The 23,109-nt window shown below is 50.5% G+C and overlaps 3 protein-coding genes and 1 non-coding gene across 6 annotated transcripts in view, besides 2 other annotated features; 2 read left to right on the forward strand and 2 right to left on the reverse strand.

Moving 5' to 3' along the window:
- CLCN6 (chloride voltage-gated channel 6) overlaps positions 1-3,037 on the forward strand; it is a 36,940-nt gene extending 33,903 nt beyond the window's left edge. For all 3 annotated transcript variants that reach the window (NR_046428.2, NM_001286.5, NM_001256959.2), the window contains one exon: positions 50-3,037. Coding sequence is in view for 2 of the 3 variants with exons in the window: in NM_001286.5 (NP_001277.2) it covers positions 50-130 (81 nt within the window). In the remaining variant the exon portion in view is untranslated. The remainder of the gene's footprint in view (positions 1-49) is intronic.
- NPPA-AS1 (NPPA antisense RNA 1) lies at positions 226-7,523 on the forward strand. Its single transcript, NR_037806.1, has 4 exons — positions 226-1,114; positions 3,611-3,980; positions 5,454-5,673; positions 7,341-7,523.
- NPPA (natriuretic peptide A) lies at positions 5,616-7,690 on the reverse strand. The gene is made up of 3 exons (NM_006172.4): positions 7,469-7,690; positions 7,020-7,346; positions 5,616-5,921 (listed from the first exon to the last, which is right to left on the reverse strand). Exons 1-3 carry the CDS (start codon positions 7,589-7,591, stop codon positions 5,916-5,918), a joined length of 456 nt encoding a protein of 151 aa, NP_006163.1. The 5' UTR covers positions 7,592-7,690; the 3' UTR covers positions 5,616-5,915.
- Positions 6,726-8,516: an enhancer, noted in NCBI's record as "VISTA enhancer hs2123". NCBI's record gives its function as "enhancer in: heart[3/4]" and the evidence as "EXISTENCE:transgenic organism evidence [ECO:0001131][PMID:17130149]".
- Positions 17,371-18,852, reverse strand: NPPB (natriuretic peptide B). The gene is made up of 3 exons (NM_002521.3): positions 18,609-18,852; positions 18,121-18,376; positions 17,371-17,578 (listed from the first exon to the last, which is right to left on the reverse strand). The coding sequence occupies exons 1-3, from the start codon at positions 18,738-18,740 to the stop codon at positions 17,562-17,564; spliced, it is 405 nt and encodes a 134-aa protein (NP_002512.1). The 5' UTR covers positions 18,741-18,852; the 3' UTR covers positions 17,371-17,561.
- Positions 19,251-19,417: a silencer, noted in NCBI's record as "fragment chr1:11919401-11919567 (GRCh37/hg19 assembly coordinates)". NCBI's record gives its function as "represses an EF-1alpha promoter that drives an FKBP-Casp9 reporter gene in an ReSE screen in HepG2 liver carcinoma cells {active_cell/tissue: HepG2}" and the evidence as "EXISTENCE:reporter gene assay evidence [ECO:0000049][PMID:32094911]".

Consider the following 23,109-nt stretch of genomic DNA (forward strand, 5'->3'; position numbering starts at 1 on the left):
GCCAGCGGGTTTTACCCTGAAGGTGACTCAGGCCTTCTCTTTGCCCTAGATCGTGGGGATCATCACACGGCACAACCTCACCTATGAATTTCTGCAGGCCCGGCTGAGGCAGCACTACCAGACCATCTGACAGCCCAGCCCACCCTCTCCTGGTGCTGCCTGGGGAGGCAAATCATGCTCACTCCGGCGGGCACAGCTGGCTGGGGCTGTTCCGGGGCATGGAAGATTCCCAGTCACCCACTCACTCAGAAAGCCGGGAGTCATCGGACACCTTGCTGGTCAGAGGTCCTGGGGGTGGTTTTGAACCATCAGAGCTTGGACTTTTCTGACTTCCCCAGCAAGGATCTTCCCACTTCCTGCTCCCTGTGTTCCCACCCTCCAGTGTTGGCACAGGCCCACCCCTGGCTCCACCAGAGCCAGAAGCAGAGGTAGAATCAGGCGGGCCCCGGGCTGCACTCCGAGCAGTGTTCCTGGCCATCTTTGCTACTTTCCTAGAGAACCCGGCTGTTGCCTTAAATGTGTGAGAGGGACTTGGCCAAGGCAAAAGCTGGGGAGATGCCAGTGACAACATACAGTTCATGACTAGGTTTAGGAATTGGGCACTGAGAAAATTCTCAATATTTCAGAGAGTCCTTCCCTTATTTGGGACTCTTAACACGGTATCCTCGCTAGTTGGTTTTAAGGGAAACACTCTGCTCCTGGGTGTGAGCAGAGGCTCTGGTCTTGCCCTGTGGTTTGACTCTCCTTAGAACCACCGCCCACCAGAAACATAAAGGATTAAAATCACACTAATAACCCCTGGATGGTCAATCTGATAATAGGATCAGATTTACGTCTACCCTAATTCTTAACATTGCAGCTTTCTCTCCATCTGCAGATTATTCCCAGTCTCCCAGTAACACGTTTCTACCCAGATCCTTTTTCATTTCCTTAAGTTTTGATCTCCGTCTTCCTGATGAAGCAGGCAGAGCTCAGAGGATCTTGGCATCACCCACCAAAGTTAGCTGAAAGCAGGGCACTCCTGGATAAAGCAGCTTCACTCAACTCTGGGGAATGCTACCATTTTTTTTCCAAAGTAGAAAGGAAGCACTTCTGAGCCAGTGACCACTGAAAGGTATGTGCTATGATAAAGCAGATGGCCTATTTGAGGAAGAGGGTGTCTGCCCTTCACAAACACCTCTCTCTCCCCTGCACTAGCTGTCCCAAGCTTACATACAGAGGCCCTTCAGGAGGGCCTCCTGTGCCGCAGGGAGGGTGCGTGGGGAAGATGCTTCCTGCCAGCACGTGCCTGAAGGTTTCACATGAAGCATGGGAAGCGCACCCTGTCGTTCAGTGACGTCATTCTTCTCCAGGCTGGCCCGCCCCCTCTGACTAGGCACCCAAAGTGAGCATCTGGGCATTGGGCATTCATGCTTATCTTCCCCCACCTTCTACATGGTATTAGTCCCAGCAGGCATCCCTGGGGCAGACGTGCTTTGGCTCAAGATGGCCTTCATTTACGTTTAGTTTTTTTTAAAACCGTGGAGGTTGCCCACGGGCCTCGGCACCTGGCCCTGGCAGCACAGCTCTCAGGCCCAGCCCTGGGCGACCTCCTTGGCCAAGTCTGCCTTTCACCCTGGGGTGAGCATCAGTCCTGGCTCTGCTGGTCCAGATCTTGCGCTCAGCACACTCTAGGGAATAATTCCACTCCAGAGATGGGGCTGCTTCAAGGTCTTTTCTAGCTGATTGTGGCCCCTCCATTTTCCCCATTTTCTTATCTCCCTGACCAAAATTGCTTTGACTTCTAAATGTTTCTGCTTCCCAGAATGCACCTGACTTATGAAATGGGGATAATACTCCCAGGAAATAGCGCAGGACATCACAAGGACCAAAAAGGCAATTCTTATTTAAATGTTACTATTTGGCCAGCTGCTGCTGTGTTTTATGGCAGTGTTCAGAGCTTGATCACGTTATTTCTTCCTTTTATTAAGAAGGAAGCCAATTGTCCAAGTCAGGAGAATGGTGTGATCACCTGTCACAGACACTTTGTCCCCTCTCCCCGCCCCTTCCTGGAGCTGGCAGAGCTAACGCCCTGCAGGAGGACCCCGGCCTCTCGAGGGCTGGATCAGCAGCCGCCTGCCCTGAGGCTGCCCCGGTGAATGTTATTGGAATTCATCCCTCGTGCACATCCTGTTGTGTTTAAGTCACCAGATATTTTGTTCCCATCAGTTTAGCCCAGAGATAGACAGTAGAATGCAAATACCTCCCTCCCCTAAACTGACTGGACGGCTGCCAAGGAGGCCCCAAACCCAGGCCCCATGCAAAGGCACGTGGTTTCCTTTTCTCCTCTCTCTGCATCTGCGCTTTCCAGATAAGCCCAAAGACAGCAACTTCTCCACTCATGACAAATCAACTGTGACCCTCGCTCCTTCCATTTCTGTCCATTAGAAACCAGCCTTTTCAGCATCTCACCCATTAGCAGCCCCATCACCCAGTGATCAGTCGCCTCAGTAAAGCAGATCTGTGGATGGGGAGCCTACGGGTGGTAAGAAGTGGTGTTTTGTGTTTCATCTCCAGCTTGGTGTTCCATGGCCCCTAGGCGAGGTGATCAGGGAGTGGGGCCAATGGGCCCCCGGCCCTGGCTTTGGGACCTTGTGCTGAGGGATGATTTGCTCCTGACCTTGATTAACTTAACAGTTCCCAGCTGGAAGGGACACTTTCAGGACCCAGTCCACTGTATGGCATTTGTGATGCAGAATTATGCACTGACATGACCCTGGGTGACAGGAAAGCCTTTCGAGAGGCCCAAGGTGGCCTCGCCAGCCCTGCAGTATTGATGTGCAGTATTGCACCACAGCTCTGCGGACCTTGGCCATTGCCGCAGTCGCAGCTTCCTTTTTTCTGTTTGCACTGTTTGTTTGTATGATGTTAGCTAATTCCACTGTGTATATAAATTGTATTTTTTTTAATTTGTAAAATGCTATTTTTATTTGAACCTTTGGAACTTGGGAGTTCTCATTGTAACCCTAACATGTGAGAATAAAATGTCTTCTGTCTCCTCTGTCTCCTTTAGCCTTTTGTCTCCATGCTGCTTTCTTTCTTTCTTTCTTTTTTTGAGACAGAGTCTCGCTGTCACCCAGGCTGGAGTGCAGTGGTGCCATCTCAGCTCACTGCAAGCTCCGCCTCCCAGGTTCACGCCATTCTCCTGCCTCAGCCTCCCGAGTGGCTGGGACTACAGGCGCCCACCACCATGCCTGGCTAATTTTTTGTATTTTTGGTAGAGATGGGGTTTCACCATGTTAGCCAGGATGGTCTCAATCTCCTGACCTGGTGATCCTACCCGCCTCGGCCTCCCAAAGTGCTGGGATTACAGGCGTGAGCCACCACGCCCGGCCCTGCTGCTCTTTCTTTCAAGGGATACTTGCTTTTTATTTTACTCCCCCTCTTTCTGATGTGTGGAAATTACACTAGGACGTAGTTTTAGAGTCTCAGAGCTCTCCCTATGCAGCTGGGCAGTGGGGCTCTTCATTCTTGCGGGTCCACTTCTCTGTATTAGACAGTGACCTTAATAAGAACAGATTTCATCCTGTGGATCTTAGCAGAGGTCACCGTTGTCTGTTTCTCCCTTCAGATGAACACTCTTCCTGATCCTCTCCTCTAGAATTCATCTCCTCCTGCTAGCAGCCGCGTCCTGGAGGAGCAGCGGATGGGGAATCCATTCTGTTTCTTCCTGGTGTTTAGGAAGTTGCCCCACACACAGATTGCCCCGATGTCCAACCAGAAGAAGTGAAACTGCTGCTGGGTCTGGAGAGGTGAAGACCCGTGGCCAGCTTCTGTTGTTGCCATCGGCCATTGCTTTTTGTTCGCTTGCTTTTGGTTTTGCAAGAAGAGCGGCCTCTGTCTCTGATCTGCTTCAAATCATCATTCCATCAGTGACAGAAGTGGCTGTTCCATCAGTGGTCGCAGCCAGTTCAGCTCCTGCATCCATCCCCAAGTGTTCTGTAAGTCCCAGGGGCATTTTCTGCCTTGTGTTTTTGTCATTTTTCAATCAGTTTCATTCAATGAGAACTCCCTGTGTTACCTGTGTTACGGTGACACCTTGAGAATGGGCTACTTCCCCTCCTAGCAACCCGCAACACCATCCCAGACCTCAGGAGCCAGGTTTGGGCCAGTGCTGTCTCCTGTCGCTCTTACTTTCATCCTTGTCATTCTCTACCCCCTGGTTTTCCTGGTATTTAAAGTCCAGGTAGAGAAGATTTTGACTGGAGGTGGTTAGGTGAGGCTCTCCCCCCACCTCAACCCCCTGCCATTAGTTCACTGGGAGCCTCCCCCTTTCCTCCGCAAGGAGCAAGTTACTACTTCATTTCCTCTTTTCCCAATTTCTGGACAAGACCAAGGCAATTTGACCAACATTTATGGGGCATCAACTCTGAGAGTGCTGAAGGGGCATTTGCCCTCAAAGAGCTTGCAGTCTAGGGACGTAGACACAAGCAATTGCACATAGGCAACTCGTGTTGTGTGCTATTATAACAGTTACATGTGCAACACTGCCTACGAAGGGACTCATTGTTACTAGGCATGAGGTACCAGGAAAGAAGTAGTGTTCATATGAGCCTTAAGAAATCAGTACAATGTCCTCGGGAGGACCAGAGGAAGGACACCCCAGGTGGAAGGAACAGCAGAAATAAAGGCACAGTGGCATGTGTGGGTGTGGGGTGTTGGAGTGTCATAGAATCTGATGAGGTTGGGATCCATGGGGGTAACAGGTGGGAAAACAGTTTACTCTGTTTAAGGTGAACTTATTGCCTGGTGTTTTGTGCTCAGAGCAAATACCCTCTTCAGGAGCAGATACAAAAAGCCGGCATCTTCTCCAGCAGCTCTTAGTAAAATACAAGCCCAGGCCCTTCAGACCCGGATTAGGCAAAGACTATGTCTGTTTTCCAAATACTTGTTAGTACACAAAAGGCACATGAACTTGTAGTTTGTCTGCATGGCAAACCTTTCTTCACTTTGCTCAGTTTTTATTTTTTTGAGACAAGTCTCATTCTGTCACCCAGGCTGGAATGCAGTGGCACAATACCAGCTCACTGCAGCCTCCACCTCCCAGGCTCAAGCCATCCTCCCACTTCGGCCTCCTGAATAGCTGGAACTACAGGTGCACATCATCATGCCTGGCTAATTTTTAAATTTTTTGTAGAGATGGGGTCTCACTCTATTGCTCAGGCTGGTCTTGAACTCCTGGGCTCAAGTGATTTGCCCACCTTGGCCTCCCAAAATGCTGGGATTACAGGAGTGAGCCACCACACCCGGCCTGCTCAGCTTTTAAATTCAACACTCTGCCTACTCTTTTCAAAACTAAAAGTACCATTACCTTAGCTGTAGAACCTAACTCTCTCGAAATGTACCAGAGAAAATCTAATTAATACTCTCATTTTCTGAATGTTCCCCCCTAAAAACAACAAAAACCCCACTAGGAGTGGAATTTGAGGCCTCCCCAACCACCTACCAAAAAAGGAGGGTGAAATGAAAGGAAGAAGAAAAACTCAGCATTCTTTCCTCTGACAAAGAGTAAAACGACAAGGAATATCGGCCTGAATTCTCTTCCCAAGAAGAAAGAAAGCACACCAACGCAGGCATTTGTCTTCTGTCCATGGTGCTGAAGTTTATTCACTTTCAAACCACTTTCAGTAACAGGTGAGGTTCTACCTTAAAATTTAATGCATGGGGTGGGAGAGGCGAGGAAGTCACCATCAAACCACTTTATCTACAGTTAGCATAAGATGTGAGAAGTGTTGACAGGAAGCTGCAGCTTAGATGGGATGATCACAACTCCATGGCAACAAGATGACACAAATGCAGCAGAGACCCCAGGGGACAGGAGCCTCTTGCAGTCTGTCCCTAGGCCCAGCCCTGCTTGTCCTCCCTGGCTGTTATCTTCAGTACTGCAAAGAGAACACAGACATATCTGGCTTGGTGACCTGGCTGTCCTGGAAAAGTCAGCTTCATGTATGAGTGTGCCCATCCTCTGAACTTGATTACTGACCACCTGCTTCCCACCGGCCCCCACCCCAGCCTGATGACCCTCTGAGCTTCATGAATTGATAAGCAAGTTACTCATCAGAGTAAATTTCACTTAAGCCCTTCAGGATCTTGCAATTCTGGGGAGGAATATGAACTGCTAATCAGCCATGCAAAGATAACTTGGCTCTATGAATATTTTAATTTCCCAGTGCTAGTGGCAGTTGCTTTTTTTTTTTTTTTTTTTGAGACGGAGTCTTGCTCTGTCGCCCAGGCTGGAGTGCAGTGGTGCCATCTCTGCTCACTGCAAGCTCCGCCTCCCGGGTTCACGCCATTCTCCTGCCTCAGCCTCCGGAGTAGCTAGGACTTACAGGCGCCTGCCACCACGCCTGGCTAATTTTTTGTATTTTTAGTAGAGACGGGGTTTCACCGTGTTAGCCAGGATGGTCTCCATCTCCTGACCTCGTGATCCACCCGCCTTGGCCTCCCAAAGCGCTGGGATTACAGGCGTGAGCCACCGTGCCTGGCCTTTTTTTTTTTTTTTTGAGACAGTCTCGCTCTATCACCTAGGCTGGACTGCAGTGGCGTGATCTCTGCTCACTGCAACCTCTGCCTCCTGGGTTCAAGTGATTCTCCTGCCTCAGCCTCCCAAGTAGCTGAGAGTACAGGTGCCCGCCACCACACCCAGCTAATTTTTGTATTTTTAGTAGAGCTGGGGTTTCACCATGTTGGCCAGGATAGTCTTGATCTCTTGACCTCATGATCCGCCTGCCTCGGCCTCCCAAAGTGCTGGGATTACAGGCGTGAGCCACTGTGCCCAGCCCCCCCCCCTTTTTTTTTTAAGCATTTTCTCAGCAGACTAGCTAAGGACAATAGATGGCATGTCCTGACACCCATGGGGCACTCTGGGTGTTGGGGCAGAAACTTGAGAGGGAATGAGCTTCTGCATTGGTCCCTTTCCTGCTGAAGGTGTCTCCCAGTAGTGTCCATCCCATCCCATTTCCATCCCCAGTTCCTCTTACCCGGAAGCTGTTACAGCCCAGTCCGCTCTGGGCTCCAATCCTGTCCATCCTGCCCCCGAAGCAGCTGGATCTCCGCAGGCTCCGAGGGGCAGTGAGCAGCGCCCTCAGCTTGCTTTTTAGGAGGGCAGATCGATCAGAGGAGTCCCAGGGGCCCCGCCCGAGGGCACCTCCATCTCTCTGGGCTGGGCTGACTTCCCCGGTCCAGGGAGGCACCTCAGGGAGGGGGCTGAGAGCAGCCCCCGCTTCTTCATTCGGCTCACTGAGCACTTGTGGGGGCACGACCTCATCTTCTAAAGGCATCTTTTCTTCCAAATGGTCCAGCAAATTCTTTAGAAAAGGAAAATACAGGGAAAGGGATAAACCTCACTGACTTGGAGGAAATCAAGAGGAGTGAGCACAGCATCAGAAAGCCCCCTGGCCCCAGACTGCACCCGCTTTCCTGGCCCTACCTTGAAATCCATCAGGTCTGCGTTGGACACGGCATTGTACATGGGATTAGCTCTGGTCTGACCTAGGAGCTGGAATGCCAGTAAAAGGAGGAAGCTCACGGTGGTGGTGGAGAAGGAGCTCATGCTGGCGTCGTCAAGGAGCAATCCACTGCTTGCTGCTCTGTCTCTCCCCTCTGGTTCCTCTCTGGTTCCCCTCTCTTGGCCTACGTCTGTCCCTGTCTCCCAGCTGCCCAGTGCCGCCTCTTTTTATAGCCCCCCAGCTCTCCAAGCACGCAGGAGAGACAGAACCCTCCCCATTCTGTCACTTGCAGTGATAAAGCTGCCAAGTGAGAAGCCAGCAGGAGATGCCCTTTTAAAGTTATCATCCCGCAGGGCTTGTCACAGCCCCTCTCTGCCTTGGGCAGCCCCAACAGCCCCCCAGACCCTCAGCTGCAAGAGCCGCATTCTTACTGATTTGACTCAAGAGGCTCCCACTTCAAAGGTGTGAGAAGAGTAAAAAAGAGTCCTTGGTTATCTCACCGCCGTGCCTCAGGATTCTTTCTCCTCGACGCTGGTACCCGTGCGGGGAAACAGAGGGTGACGCTTGGCTGGTGCCCAGCTCCCCTGGTTTGTTTGTGGCTCAGCTGTCAGGGCCTCCAAATAAGGGTGGAGAGGAGGAAATGGCAGGCAGCCAGCAGCCCGAGACAAATGGATCCAGATGCTCAAGCTGGCCTCACACCTGCCTCATCCGCCACGTGGGCAGACCTCTGGCCTCAGACAGGGCTGCCTTCACCCCTGGCAGTCCCTCTCCATGGTCAGGCGAAAGGAAGTTATTTTTTAGTATATAAAGTCAGCTGAGAACCAAATGTGATGAAGCTCCCAGGAATCCAACCCCCAAATAGAAATAGCAAGAAAAGGCGGGGGAGCACAAGCATCCTCTCTCCAAAGCTCCTCCTCTTCCATGTCCCCCGCGACCCTCCTCCAGCATGCTGCGGGGACAGGCTTAGAGGACGCAGCCAATTTCATTTCTTCCGTTGCTGTTTATAGATGCTCAGACTCTTCGTGTCTGAAGTTTGTTAACATCCCCCTGCCCTTCCTGGGCTTGTGCCCGTGGCAACTTGACCGATGGAGGAAGGGAGGTGGGGGTGAAGGAGGTATAGTCAGTTTCCCTCAATGCCTTCTACATCCTTCCCTGAGGACGTGGCAAGTGGCAAGTGACCGAGCCACCAAGGTCACAATTTCCCTGGCCCCCAAAAGGGAAATAACAGGCAGCAAGTCTGTCTATGTTTAATGAATGGCCTGTTTGCTAAGCACTGAACTCAGTGTTAGCCATTACCATTCAATGCAACGTATACTGGGGGAAAACTCTAAATTTGAAGGGCTGAGAGACCAGTACTGTAGCCCAAAACAAACCAGTTGCATACCTCTTCGCAGCCTTACTTTCCTTGTGTGTAAAATGAGAAAGAATGTTAAAAACCGGCCGGGTGCAGTGGCTCACACGTATAATCCCAGCACTTTGGGAGGCTAAGGTGGGTGGATCACCTGAGGCCAGGAGTTTGAGACCAGCCCTACCAACATGGCAAAACTCTGTCTCTACTAAAAATATAAAAATTAGCTGGGTGTGGTGGCATGTGCCTGTAATCCCCGCTACTAGGGAGGCTGAGGTAAAAGAATTGCTTGACCTTGGGAGGCGGAGGTTGTAGTGAACCAAGATCGCACCACTGCACTCTAGCCTGGGCAACAGAGTGGGACTCGGTCTCAAAAAATAAATAAATAAATGAATGAATAAAGTAGAAATCTTCCCTGCCTACCTTGCAGGATTGTTGTGGAGCCCAAGTGAGCTGAGAACGTGTCAACACATAACAAGTGTGCAGTGCTGAGTCCCTGCAAGATGGCCATCATAGTTGTCTTTATTGGTTGCTTGTAGCATGCCTAGCACTGTGCTGAGAACTTTATGGAAATGATTTTATTTTGATCACCATCCCCAGGTGGTAGATAGCATTGTCCTTGCTTACAAGGGAACAGAACTGAGCCCGAGAGGCTATGCCACTTGCCCAAGGCCACTAGGTGCCTAAGTGGCGGAACCAGGACTGGATCCCCAGGTCTGACGCTGATGTCTGTATCCTAGCCTATTTCACGTAGAGAGCTGCCACCTTACCTCTTAGCTGCATTCCCCAATTAAACCCCCATTCCCCATCTTTCAGATGCCCCAAGGGAGCTCCTTCACCTTCCCCATGCCCCTGGGGCTGTAGCTTTTTTGTGCACTTACCAAGTCTGTGTGTGTTGGCTGCTCTCCTGATCTATTTCTACACCGAATGTGTTTTAATCCACTCCTTAGAAGCTCAGAAAATGTGTGTTGAGTGACCAGCTCTGTCCTGGCTGGCCAGATCTGTCCCCAGGTGTGCTGACCTCATGACTGACCAGGTGAACAGGACGTTGTGCAGCCATAAGGTTGGAAATCAGGGCAGCAAGTGACTAGAGGTCACAAGAGGTATCCAGGGTGATATTATTCTAAGATAAGATAAAAGGGACCCTCTTTGGCAAGCCTTGGGGTTTGTCTGTAGGTGGGGATCTAATATTTCATGGGGTGGTTAGAAGCAGCCTGTAGGAGTGAGAGAGAAGAAAAGTAACAGGCACAGAAAGCCAGGCCCACCTCCATCCCCACCTCTTCCACGGCTGAAAAATCAAAAGCCTTTTATTTCCTTATCACTGGAAAGAAGTCATCTTAGTCATACAACGGGTGGAGCACTGCAAACGGGTGGGAGAATCCAGAATCCGGGTGTTGCCAGATTCCAGCCCAGAGTTTGGCTTCACGATTCTCTGGGGGTATGCCTTGGGCTGCTGCAGGGAGCCCCAGAGTGTGCAGTGTCACCCGCGTGCAGAGCTGGCACGAAATCCCCAACACATTCGTGGCATGATTCTGCGGGACCCAGATGGTCTAAAGCAGAAGCCCCAGTTGGGAAAAATTGGTTCATACTTAGGGATGATCGTTGCTGACTTTGAAAATGATGTTTTGTTTCTTTGGTTTAATATGGAGGTCACTAAGGGCTGAAGACTGGGGACAGTTTCCCTAGAAAACAAAGCCCAAGGCAAAAGGTCACTCGCTAAAGTTTTGTGGGGGTTCCTATTCAAAGGAAGCAAGAGTGAGGCGGAGTGAGAGGCTGTTTTAGTTAACTACTGCCGGGTAACAAGTCACCCCAGACTGGGCGTGGTGACTCACGCCTGTCATTCCAACACTTTGGGAGGATCATTTGAACCCAGGAGTTCAAGACCACCCTGGGCAACATGGCAAAAACCCATTTGTACTAAAAATACAAAAAATTAGCTGGGTGCAGTGGTGCGTGCCTGTCATCCCAGCTACCCTGGACACTGAGGTGGGAGAATCACCACAGCCCAAGAAGTTGAGGCTGCCGTGAGCCATGACCAAGCCACTGCACTCCAGCCTGGGTGACAGAGTGAGAACCTGTCTCAAAAAGAACAAAAGCCAGGCATGGTGGCTCACGCCTGTAATACTAGCCCTTTGGGAGGCTGAGGCAGGAAGATCTCTTGAGCTCAGGAGTTCCAGACAAGACTGAGCAACATAAGGAACCCTGTTTTTAATAAATAAACAAACAAAAAACAAAACAAAAACCAAGTCACCCCAAACCTTAGCAACTTCACACAATGCACATCTATTATCTCATCACCTCTGTGCTCTGTGGATCAGGGATCTGGCCCTGCTTGGCCTGGGGCCCCTGGGCAATGAAGGCGTTGGCTGCGGCTGCAGTCATCTCAAGGCTTGGCTGGGGGAGGATAGGCTTTCAGGCTCACTCCTGCAGCTGTTGGCAGAAGCCACAGGTTCTCGCTGGCTGGTGGCTGGTGGAAACATCAGTTTCTTGCCACGTGGGTCTCTCCATGGAGACGCAACTGTCTTCTATTAGGTCAGGCGAGAAAGAGAAGTTACGGAAGAAGCCACAGTCTCTTTGTTACCTAATCTCAGAAGTGACATCCCATTCTTCATGTTGTACTGTTCTGTGTCCCTTAGAAGTGAGTCTCTGGGTCTCACTCACACTCTAAGGGAGGGGGTTACAGAGGGTATGAAGACCAGGAGGTTGGGGATCTCTGGGGGCCTTCTGAAAGCACTGCCCACACAAATAGAGAAGGAAGGAAAGCAAATGTAAGGTGACATTGGCTGAGTGCAGTGGCTCATGCCTGTAATCCCAGCACTTTGGGAGGCTGAGGTGGGTGGATCACTTGAGGTCAGGAGCTCGAGACCAGCCTGACCAACATGGTGAAACCCCGTCTCTACTAAAAATACAAAAATTAGCCAGGCATGGTGGTGTGCACCTGTAGTCCCAGCTACTCGGGAGGCTGAGGCAGGAGAATCATGAAGGGCAGGGCTCTGCAGGAAGGTTGACTTATTTGGGAGTGTCTTAGTTTAAGTTCTCTTGAACCGGAGACAGATATTCCAGTATTAGTGGCTGATCTTGGAGACAAACCCAGGAAATGTCAGTGGAGAGTGGGGAAGTGATACAGAAAAAGTAGAAGTCAGTGACCACCTCTGGCAGTAGGTGCTTAATCCTCCTCCCACAGAGAACTCCAAACAGGTTCTCTGTTTGGAGAACAGAGACACATGCCACCTATGACTCAAGGGAGCTGGGTGTTTGTTTTATTTTATTTTATTTTATTTTATTTTTGAAACAGAGTCTTGCTCTGTCACCCAGGCTGGAGTGAAGTGGTAATTTCAGCCTTGACTTCCCGGCTCAGTGATCCTCCCATTTCAGCCTCCCGAGTAGCTGGACTACAGATGTTCACCACCATACCCGGCTAATTTTTTTTCTTTTATTTTTAGTAGAGACGAGGTCTCTCTTTGTTGCCCAGGCCGGTCTCGAACATCTGAACTCAATTTATCCTCCCACCTCAGCCTCCCAAAGTGCTGGGATTACAAGTGTAAGCTGCTGCACCAGGCGTGAGCTGGGTCTTTAAATGCCAACTCCTGGCCAGGTGCAGTGGCTCACACCTGTAATCCCAGCACTTTGGGAGGCTAAGGTAGGAGGATTGCTTGAGGCCGTGAGTTCAAAATCAGCCTTGCAAACATAGTGAGACTCTCCATCTCTACAGAAAAAAAAAATTATTTTAATTAGCCAGACATGGCAGCATACTCCTGTAATCCCAGCTACTTGGGAGGCTGACGTGGGAGGATCGCTTGAGCCCAAGAGTTTGAGGTTATAGTGAGCTATGATCATGCCACTGCACTCCAGCCTTGGTGACAGAGCAAGACTCTGTCTCTATTTAAAAAAAAAAAAAAAAAAAAAGCCAGCTCCTGTCAGATGTTGGTTGAGCACTGCTCAGGTCAATGTCAATTCCCCAGCACTTCCTGCCGGCCCCAAGGAGCTGAGTGGGCTGCGGCTGCCAGAGAAAGTTCTTAGGCAGAAAAGTGCAGTGCTGCTGGATGAAAGGATTGATGTGTGCTGAAGATCAGGGGCTACGGGCCTCTGCCGTGCCCGAAACGGGACAGCTAGAGGCAGGAGAGTGGGAGCCAGTGTCCAAGGGCAGATACTGAGTTTGGTTCTAGAAACGCTTAAGGCAGCTGTATGGGGCAGGCTCCAGACCCCAAGGGAAAAATGGATCACTTGGTGGAATAAGACTGATTATTTAAGCTAAGGCAGTGGATGAAAAATCCTAGAGAGAGGCTGAGATCTACAACATGAACAAAGACAAATGGCCAAGTTCATGTCATGGTTTAGACCCAGCTCTGCAGGAAGAGAAATGCATTTTTTTTCCTTGCCACAAATCATTCTCAGAAAGGCCAAAGCAGGTGGGGCACGGTGGCTCATGCCTGTAATCCCAGCACTTTGGGAGGCCGAGGAGGGCGGATCACGAGGTCAGGAGATGGAGACCATTCTGGCTAACACACTGAAACCCCGTCTCTACTAAAAATACAAAAAAATTAGCCGGGCGTGGTGGCGCACACCTGTAGTCTCAGCTACTCGGGAGGCTGAGGCAGGAGAATTGCTTGAACCTGGGAGGCAGAGGTCGCAGTGAGCCGAGATCGCACCACTGCTCTCCAGCCTGGGCAACAGTGAGACTCCATCTCAAAAACAAAACAAAACAAAACAAAACACAACAACGAAGGGTCAAATCAGCCATAAGAGGGAGGGAGAGGGGCTCAGTGTTCCTTGAGACTATCCCAGGTGCAAAATCACGGACATGAGATGAAGCTTTCAGGCCCAACGTTGTCCTGACTTCTGTGACTTCAACACTGAAGACCTGAAAAAAACCAGTTCACTCTCTATTGAAGCTTCTTGCAGCTCTGAAGCCATGGACTAAATCTCCTCAGTCTGTTTTCACCAACACGTCTTTCTGGAAAGATTAAAATAACAAGAGTCCGGGTGTGGTGGCTCACGCCTGTAATCCCAGCACTTTGGGAAGCCGAGGCAGGCAGATCATTTGAGGTCAGGAGTTCGAGACCAGCCTGGCCAACACAGTGAAACCCCGTCTCCACTAAAAATACAAAAAGATTAGCCAAGTGTGGTGGTACACGCCTCTAGTCCCAGCTACTCAGGAGGCTGAAGCAGGACAATTGCTTGAACCAGGGAGGCAGAGGTTGCAGGGAGCCAAGGTTGTGCCACTGCACTCCAGCCTGGGCAGCAGAGCAAGACTCTGTCTCAAAAAATAATTAATAAATAAAAAATAAGATAACAAGCGTAAGGCTGGGCACAGTGGCTCACACCTGTAATCCCAGCACTTTGGGAGGCCAAGGTGTGAGGATTGCTTGAGCCCAGGAGCTTGAAACCAGCCTGGGCAACCTGGTGAAACCCCATCTCTACAAAAAATTAAAAGTAAAAAAAAATTAGCCAGGCGTGGTGCATGAGCCTGTGGTCCCAGCTACTTGGAAGACTGAGGTGGGAGGATTGCTTGAGCCTGAGAGGTTGAGGCTGCAGTGAGCTGTATTCATGCCACTGCACTCCAGCCTGAGCAACAGAGAACTCTGTCTCAAAAAAAAAAAAAAAGAAAGAAAGAAAGAAAAAAAAAGTGTCTATGGAGATAAATCATTTGGCAGCTTCTTTGGGAGACAAGGTTGGTAACGGGGAGTCAGGGAGGTTAAGGCCATGGCTACAGCTACGTGGGGAATGGTTAGGGAGGGCTGGTTTTAAGGGCATCTACATGCGGTGTGTGTACCACAAAGCTGCCTGCAAACACCAACCACGTGGAGAGCTTGATGAGATGTCACTCACTGGGTACAGCAGGCGGCCCGCTACCGCTACCCAGCTCCAACTGTCACATTTGGCTCCTTCGCAGGTCACTTTGGGGTCCTCTTTCCTTGCTTAGGGAAAGGACCCAAGTAACAGGATGTATGGTGTGTACAGCCTCCACCATCTGAGCCCCATTTATGGATGAGCCAGACTCATCTGCAGGAATTTGAAAGTGCTGGCTGGGTTTGGGGAGTATTTTGGGAGGGGTGTGTCCTCATCACCTGAGCAGAGGGGAAAGGCCACCAGCAGGCAGTGGCCCAGATGTTGAACTGAGTGATGCCACCAGGAGGGGGACCTCCATCCCACCCACAAGCCTAATTCACTGGCTTGGAAAAAGCTGGGTGGGACAGTGGTTAGGGGTACGGGTCCTCGAATCTTGGCTCTGCCACTTGCTAACTACATGACATTGACAAGTTATATATCTCTGTGCCTTGGTTTCCCCATCTGTAAAAAGAGGGATGTAAGAGTTTTAACTCCAGGCCAGGAGCAGTGGCTCAAGCCTGTAATCCCAGCACTTTGGGAGGCCGAGGCGGGTGGATCACTTGAGGCCAGGAGTTCGAGACCAGCCTGGCCAACATGATGAAACCCCATCTCTACAAAAAATACAAAAATTAGCTGAGGGTGGTGGTGCATGTCTGTACTCCCAGCTACTCAGGAGGTTGAGGCGAGAGAATCGCTTGAACCCGGGAGTCAGAGGTTGCAGTGAGCCGAGATTGCACCGCTGCACTTCAACCTGGATGACAGAGTGAGACCTGTCTCAAAAAAAAAAAAAAAAAGAAATTTAACTCCTTCATTGTTGTGAGGTCTATATGACTGTGCCTGGTACATGAATGAGGCCTTTATGAATATTAACTATTCTAATTACTCATTGCTCTCCCCGGTTTGGAAGCATTAGACATGACTCACAGTTGGTGGAAAAATAAGCTGCCCCTAAAACCTCTTTTTTATTTCTTTTATTCTCTTTTTTTGTTCGTTTGTTTTTTGAGATGGGGTCTCCCTCTGTCACCCAAGCTGGAGTACAGTGGCACAATCACAGCTCACTGCAGCCTCCCCGCTTCCAGGCTTAAGCGATCCTCCCACCTCAGCCTCCTGAGTAGCTGGGACCACAGGCATGCACCACTACACCCAGATAATTTTTTTCATTTTCATTTCTTGAAGATATGGGGGTCCCATTATGTTGCCCAGGTTGGTCTTGAACTCCTGGGCTCAAGCCGTCCTTCTGCCTCGGCCTTTCAAAGTGCTGGGATTACAGTGTGAGCCACTGTCCCTGGCCTAAAACCTCGTTTTTGAACAATTTTTTTTTTTTGAGATTATGGAGTTTCACTCTTGTTACCCAGGCTGGAATGCAGTGGTGCAATCTTAGCTCACTGCAACCTCCACCTCTCAGATTCAAGCGATTCCCCTGCCTCAGCCTCCTGAATAGCTGGAATTACAGGCACACACCACCATGCCCGGCTAATTTTTGTATTTTTAGTAGAAAGGGGATTTCACCATGTTGGCCAGGCTGGTCTCGAACTCCTGACCTCAGGTGATCCTCTGGCCTCGGCCTTCCAAAGTGCTGGGATTACAGGTGTGAGCCACCGCACCCAGTCTAAACAATCTTAATTGATGTCATTAGATATCCATAAATCCTCAGATGCACACTGGGTGAAAATGATAAATAACACAAAGTTCCACCCTCTAGGTCACTCTCATTCAAAGAAACATCTGATGAGAACATCAGAAAAGACTTGAGAGTGAAGTTCAAGGGCAGGAGTGTGGGGCTCAAGAGTCAGAGAGCACAGGCTCAAGAGTCACCTGGATCTCCGCTCAGTTCCCACACCAGCGCTTAGTCGCTGTGTGCTCTTGGATAGGACGCTTGGTTTTCCAGGGTCTCAGTTTTCCCGGGTCTCAGTTTTCCCATTTGGAAAATGGACATAATAATAGTGGACCTCATGGTGCCTTACCCCTCAGCTGAGCTGGAATTATAAATGGCATTGTGAGAAAGCGAATGACATGAGGCCCTTCCCAGGAATCTGAAAGGAGAGGAACTCAGCACTGCGGAGGCCTGGATTGCAGGGTGTGTGGGAAGGGGACCCATAGGAGAGACAGCCTCCCCACTGGTTAAGGCAAAGAGAAGAGATGATGCAGCCCCAGGGGAGGGGCACCCTGGAAAGCTGGGCTGATTGCCAGACCCCTCTCACTTTGTGGGTTGGAGTTTTGAAGGCTCCTTTGCAGGATGACCCCAGGAATTGGAGTTTCAAAGCTGATATTTGGGGCAGGATGGAGGGCTCACCCCGGTATGGGAATGTAGATGAGCCACACCCACACACACTGCCCCCAGTCGTTGACATTTTAGCTGAGACCTGAAAGCAATAATCCCCAGGGAGAGTGCTTTAATGGTGGAATTCCAGGCAGAGCAAGGACGAGTGGAGAAAACGGCTGGATACGTGCCCTCAGGTTGCACACGTATCCTGCCCTGCTTTGAAAAGCAGTTTCTCCCAAGTGCCTCAAGTGCTTGAGATATTCAATAACATTTCAGAGCATTAAAAACTCTGAAAGAAAAGAAAGCCTGCTACCTCTGAGGCCACATCCTCATCCCACCATGAAGATGCCTTGAGATCACAGGGCTTTGTGGTTTTAGTTGGGTTGGTTTCTTTGAAATGAGGGATTATTTTTAATGCGCCAAGACAAATCAGTTTCAAAAGATAAAGCTTATAATGTTGACTTTATTTCACCGTGGAAATTTTGTGCTCAAAGGTAAGAAACCATCTTATATAAAACAATCAAATAAATACATAAATACATTAAAAAAATGAGTCACTTCAAAGGCGGCCACAGGGTTGAGGAAAAAGCCCCTTGTGGAATCAGAAGCAGGTGTCTGCAGCCAGGACTTCCTCTTAATGCCGCCTCAGCACTGTCAGGGAAAGAGAGAGGGTGATGATGGTTAGGGTGGGAGATGGAGGCAGGGGCTGAGCTTACCTCATCGTGTGCCACCCACCACCCTGTTAGTCATCAGACGTTTGAGGCTTAATGCAACTCTCTGAGCCTCAGTTTCCTCATCTGTAAATTGGGGATTATCATTGCTCTGGTGATCCTGCTCTCTGCCTTTGAGACTATAGACAGTTTAGAGGAAACCAGGAGGAAATGTTTGGTTCTCTTTCTGCACCACTGGGGGGCTGCCAAATGATAAACAGACCCCCAAAGGAGATTCTGCCCCTTTGATAAGAAGTAGGAGGTGGGGAGAAGGTATTGTGGGCATGGTAATGAAATAAGCCCACATTTACTAATTCCACAAAGGCACCCCTTGGCCCTGAAGGCTGTTAACAAGAGGAAGCGATGTCCAGGTGACCTTTTCTCAAAGAGTGTGGTTCCCAGAGACAACAAACCCCAAAGTGACTCTAACAGTGTCACACACTGGAATGGGGGAAGGCGGCCGGGGTGGCAGGGGGTGCTTACCTTTGCAGCCCAGGCCACTGGAGGAGCTGATCCGGTCCATCTTCCTCCCAAAGCAGCCAGACCCTTGCACCATCTTGGGGCTTCGTGGTGCCCGCAGGGTGTAGAGGACCATTTTGCGGTGCCCACGGATGCCCTCGGTGGCTACCTCCCGGGACTTCCAGACACCTGTGGGACGGGGGCTCTCCTGGAGGGGCTCCAGGGATGTCTGCTCCACCTGCAGCTCCGACAGTTTGCCCTGCAAATGGTTGCGCTGCTCCTGCAATGAATGGGGGCGTCCAAGCCTCAGGGACCCACCCCTGGGCTCACCAGCCCTTCATGGCACCCAAGTGAACCGACTGCCTTGGGTACAGGGTCAGGGCACCCAGTCTCTCCATTTTCTGATTCCTTTATCACTAATTCCAAAGGAAAGATGAGGGCCTCTTGGGACAGCAGGTGAGGACCCTTTCATTGCTGCTGTCCAATCCCCCTGAGCTGCCCTCCGCTCTCACCTGTAACCCGGACGTTTCCAAGTCCGAGGCTGAACCGGGGCTGCCCAGCGGGTGGGAACGACCTCCCAGGAAAGCCAGATGCAAGAAGAGCAGGAGCAGGAGCGCCCGGGAAGGTGCTGTCTGGGGATCCATGTCTCTGGAGGGACTGCGGAGGCTGCTGCTGCTGCTTCTGCTGCTGCTGCTGCTGCTGCGATGCGTCCGGGTTTGCTTCCCACCTGCCCTCAGCCTGCGGGGTGCTCCTCCTGGCTCCTCGGGACACCGTGGCCTTTTATCCTGGAGCTGAGTGTCGGGCCTGCCCTGCCATGCAGGGTTATCTCTGATTTATCAGCCACATTCCGGGCCTCTGAGATCAGGGCCCGGGAATGAGCCCCTCCGCGCCTGCGACGTGGGAGGTGGAGACCGGGCAGAGCCGACCTTGTATAGAAATGGGCCGGGTCGGGCCGGGGGGCAGGAACGCGCTGGAGACACAGACAAGTCCCCGTCTCCCGCTTCTTCCTTTCCTGCAAATGTCCAGGTGTCCTAGGTTGGCGCTTTCTTCCTGCCTCCCCACCCCACCGTTGCTGGAAAAGGCAGGGAGGACCCCGGCTTTCCGAGGACCGACGTGAGCGCGGGGAGCACGGGGTGACTCACAGCGAAAACAGCCCCGGCCAAGACCCCGCCACCCGCGGCGCCTCTCCCCTCCCCGCGCGAGTTCCCTGGCCCGCACGTAGCGCAGCACCTGCTCGCCGCTGTGCACCCTGCCTGCCTGCGGGTCCTCGGGGGCGCCCTGGCCGCTGTCCGTGGTGCTGATCACCCCGAGGGAACTTGGAGCAAACTCTCAAGAGCTGCTCTCTTCAACGGGATTTTCAGGCCAGAAAGACCTGCGTGGAGCAAGGACAAGAGACCTCCGAGACCTTTCCCTATGCTCTCACAATCCGCCATCTTATAGTCCTTACAGCAACGGGATGCTGATTCCCCAGTGGCAATTCATTAAAAGCCTGGGTATGACCAGGAACTTCTGGAATGCTGACCCTTCTTTCACTCCTTAAAGGGAAGAGCAGATTTCGCTGGAATTTTGAGAGATAGGGTCCAGTGATGACGAAGTCACCCAAGAATGCCTTATATGTGTGTCCTCCACGTGTCAACACCTCCTCTCCCCCACCAAGCCAACACAGGATGGAAAACAAAAGGATAGGCTGGGCATGGTGGTTCACGCCTGTAATCCCAGCACTTTGAGAGGCCGAGGCGGTCGGATCACGAGGTCAGGAGATCGAGACCACGGTGAAACCCCGTCTCTACTAAAATTACCAAAAATTAGCTGGGCATGGTGGCAGGCGCCTGTAGTCCCAGCTACTCGGGAGGCTGAGGAAGGAGAATCACTTGAACCCAGGAGGTGGAGGTTGCAGTGAGCTGAGATCACGCCACTGCACTCCAGCCTGGTTGACAGAGAGCGAAAAAAGAAAGAAAGAAAGAAGGAAAGAAAGAAAGAAAGAAAGAAAGAAAACAAAAGGATGGCTGGAATGATGGTTATCTATTTGCTGGGATACCAGAGATATGGGGATTTCCCCTCTCCCAGTGCCTCCTTCATCTGACCACCCATGATCTAATTATCATTAGCAGGTGGCCTGGTGATTAGAAGTGAGACTTTGGAGAGAAATGCCCCTGAGAAGAGTCATAGCAGCTTAAATACCCCCCTAAAGCATATATGACTGATGTCACTCCCCTTCCAGAGAATTGGTGTCAACAAGCAGCAGGCTGGAGGAGTGGAGCTGTCTATGAGGGGAGAAGAGTTACAGCAGAGAAGGGCAGCAATAAGAAACTGGGACCTCTAAGCAGATCTTGCCTAAAAAATAGCATCTGCCCCTGAGGTGAGAAAAGCACGGTTATTATTCCTCACTTCAGAGGAGGAAATGGTGTTCATGAATTAATCTACTTTCCAAAAGTCACACAATTGACACATGATAAATCCTGGATTCTAACCAGTCTGATTAGTCTAGCCAGCAGTCTGATTCCAGACCTGAAGCTCATAATCACTGCCAGGGTGATCACAAGGTGTTTCTACAAAAAGCAAGCTTAGGTGAATCCCGTGTCATCTATGAAGGCTCTGGGAGCTGTGCTGTGGGGGATGTGCAATTCTAGTGGTGACTGTGTGTGCAGGAGAAAGAATGGGAAGTGGCTCAGATGAGCATTTTGCAGATGAAATATAAATGGAGGTGGGTGGGTAAGGGCTGTGTAAAGACACCAGTGCTGGAAATGTTCTGGGGGGCTGGGGTAGTTTTGTGTGTGTGTGTGTGTGTGTGTGTGTGTGTGTGCGTGCACATGAGCATGCCACAGTAAGAGTATCAAAAGGCTAAGAGGAAGCTAAAGAGGTAAGAAAATTCAGCCAAGTGCAGAGGGGAGTCAGTGGGCGAGAGGCTGCTGAGGGTGCAGAAAGCCCCTCATGCTGAGTACCATGAGATAAAGGGTTCAGAGCAAGGCAGGATTCATCAACCAGCACCATCAAAAACTGACTCTGCATCTCGCCAGAGCCTCACTTTGCTCTTCGGCAAAATGGACAGTCCTTGCAAGGACTAAAAGGAAAAAAATAATATCTGCAAAAGCCCGTGGCACTGTATAAAGGGCCAAATAATTAGTAGTACATGAGAGTTGGTCTTTACACTGAAGGAGATTGTGATCTCACTGGGGAGACAAAGTGACCCCAAGTGAGACAATTAAGTGTCTAAGTGTCATACACTCTGACAGAGTTTCTATCTGTCCCCAGTGGAGGGGACTGTGGAAGAAGACTTGAGGAAGACACAGAACTAGACACATCCTCCAAGGCCTGCTGTCCAGGGAGGAGGATATGTTGTCAACTAACTCTCACACCAGATCAGCCCCATCAACATTTATCGAGGGCCTGTCATATGCTATGTGCTTTCCAAGTCTATTTAATGAAGCTAATCATAACACCTCTGTTGGAGCATTAATGTACAAGGATTAAATTTGATGATGTCTGTGGTAAGCTGAATAATAGTCCCCAAAAGATGTCCATATTCTAATCCCCAGAATCTGCGAATATACTACTTTACATGGTAAAAAGGACTTTGCAGGTGTGGTTAAGTTAAGGACCTCAAGGTGGAGAGATTCTCCTGGATTATTCAGGAAGGCTCAATGTCATCACAAGGGTCCTTATAAGAGGGAAGCCAGAGGATCAAGGTCAGAGGGACAAAATGTAAGGATGGGAACAGGTCAGAGAGGAGAGAAGAGACTACACTGCTGGCTTTGAAGATAGAGGAAGGGGCCATGAGCCAAGGAATGTAATCAGCCTCTAGAAGTTGGAAAGGGCAAAGAAATGGATTTTTCCCTAGAGCTTCCAGAAGGAATATGGGCCTGCCAATACCTTAGTTTTAGCCCAGTGAAACAGATTTCAGACTTCTGATGTCTGGAACTGTAAGAAAATAAAATCATGTTCTTTTAAGCCAACAAGCTTGTGAGACTTTGTTTCAGCAGCAATGGGAAATTAATAGAGTATATGTCAAATGCCAAGCATAGTGTCTCTCCCATAGTAAGCCCTCAGCAAATGTTGTTATGGTAGAAGTATTGGTTCCCCACCACCATCCAACTCTAAGTGCTTAATCTGGCCACACAGAAAGAAATAAGACCCTTAAGTCATTCAACAAACTTTCACCGAGACCCTGGGGTCACAGTAGCCCAGACCCAAGACTGAAATCACAGTCTGGGCTCAATTTCACATCAACTTCTTGCTACCTTTGTGTGTTGGGCAAGTTGCTTCCTCTCTCTCCTTGTTTTCTCATGGCTACCTCATAGGGTTGTTGTGAGCATAAAATGAGACTGTGCAGGTTAAAATCTAATATTTCTGCTGGAAGGTGGGGATACATAACGGACAAGAAAGTCCCTGCCATTGAGAAGCTTACAGTGCAGGGGGAAAGGTGGGCACAATCACAGGCTCCCCAGGCTGCCACAGTGAGTGACAGATACAGTGGCAGTGAGTCCTGGATGCTCTGTGAGCACAGCAGGAGTGCGCAGTCGAGAAGGGAGTTTGTTGGAGAAGGTGGGGCTGGGCTAAGGCTTTGAAGGATAAGAATGAGTTAGCCACAAGAAGGAAGATGGAAGATGGGGAGGGCACTCTGGGCAGAGCAGATGCACAAGCAGAGGCTAGAAGGGCTGGTTAATGGATCAGCTACCACCCCTATGCTCTCTGCAGAAGGAAGAAGCTGTGCAGAATACAAGGTTTGACTAGTCAGAGAGTAGGACTCCAGCTGCAAGATTTTTCTGTAGCTTCCCTCTGGCCTCAATCTCCAGTCTAGTCCTGGGCAGCCAAAGTGGATGGTATGAGAGCACTGGGCACCTGGGGGAAGCAAAGGAGGAAACAGAGGAGCACTGACCCAGGAGGCAGGAGGCAGGCTCGTCTCTGCCCGTGGCTGACTCACGGTGTGGCTCTGTTCCAGGGATTCTTTTTTTTTTTTTTTAATTTTTTTGAGATGCAGTCTTCCTCTTTCACCCAGGCTGGAATGCAGTGGTG

This window comes from Homo sapiens, chromosome 1 (genome assembly GCF_000001405.40).
Source record: "Homo sapiens chromosome 1, GRCh38.p14 Primary Assembly".
NCBI classification, from domain to species: Eukaryota; Metazoa; Chordata; class Mammalia; order Primates; family Hominidae; genus Homo; species Homo sapiens.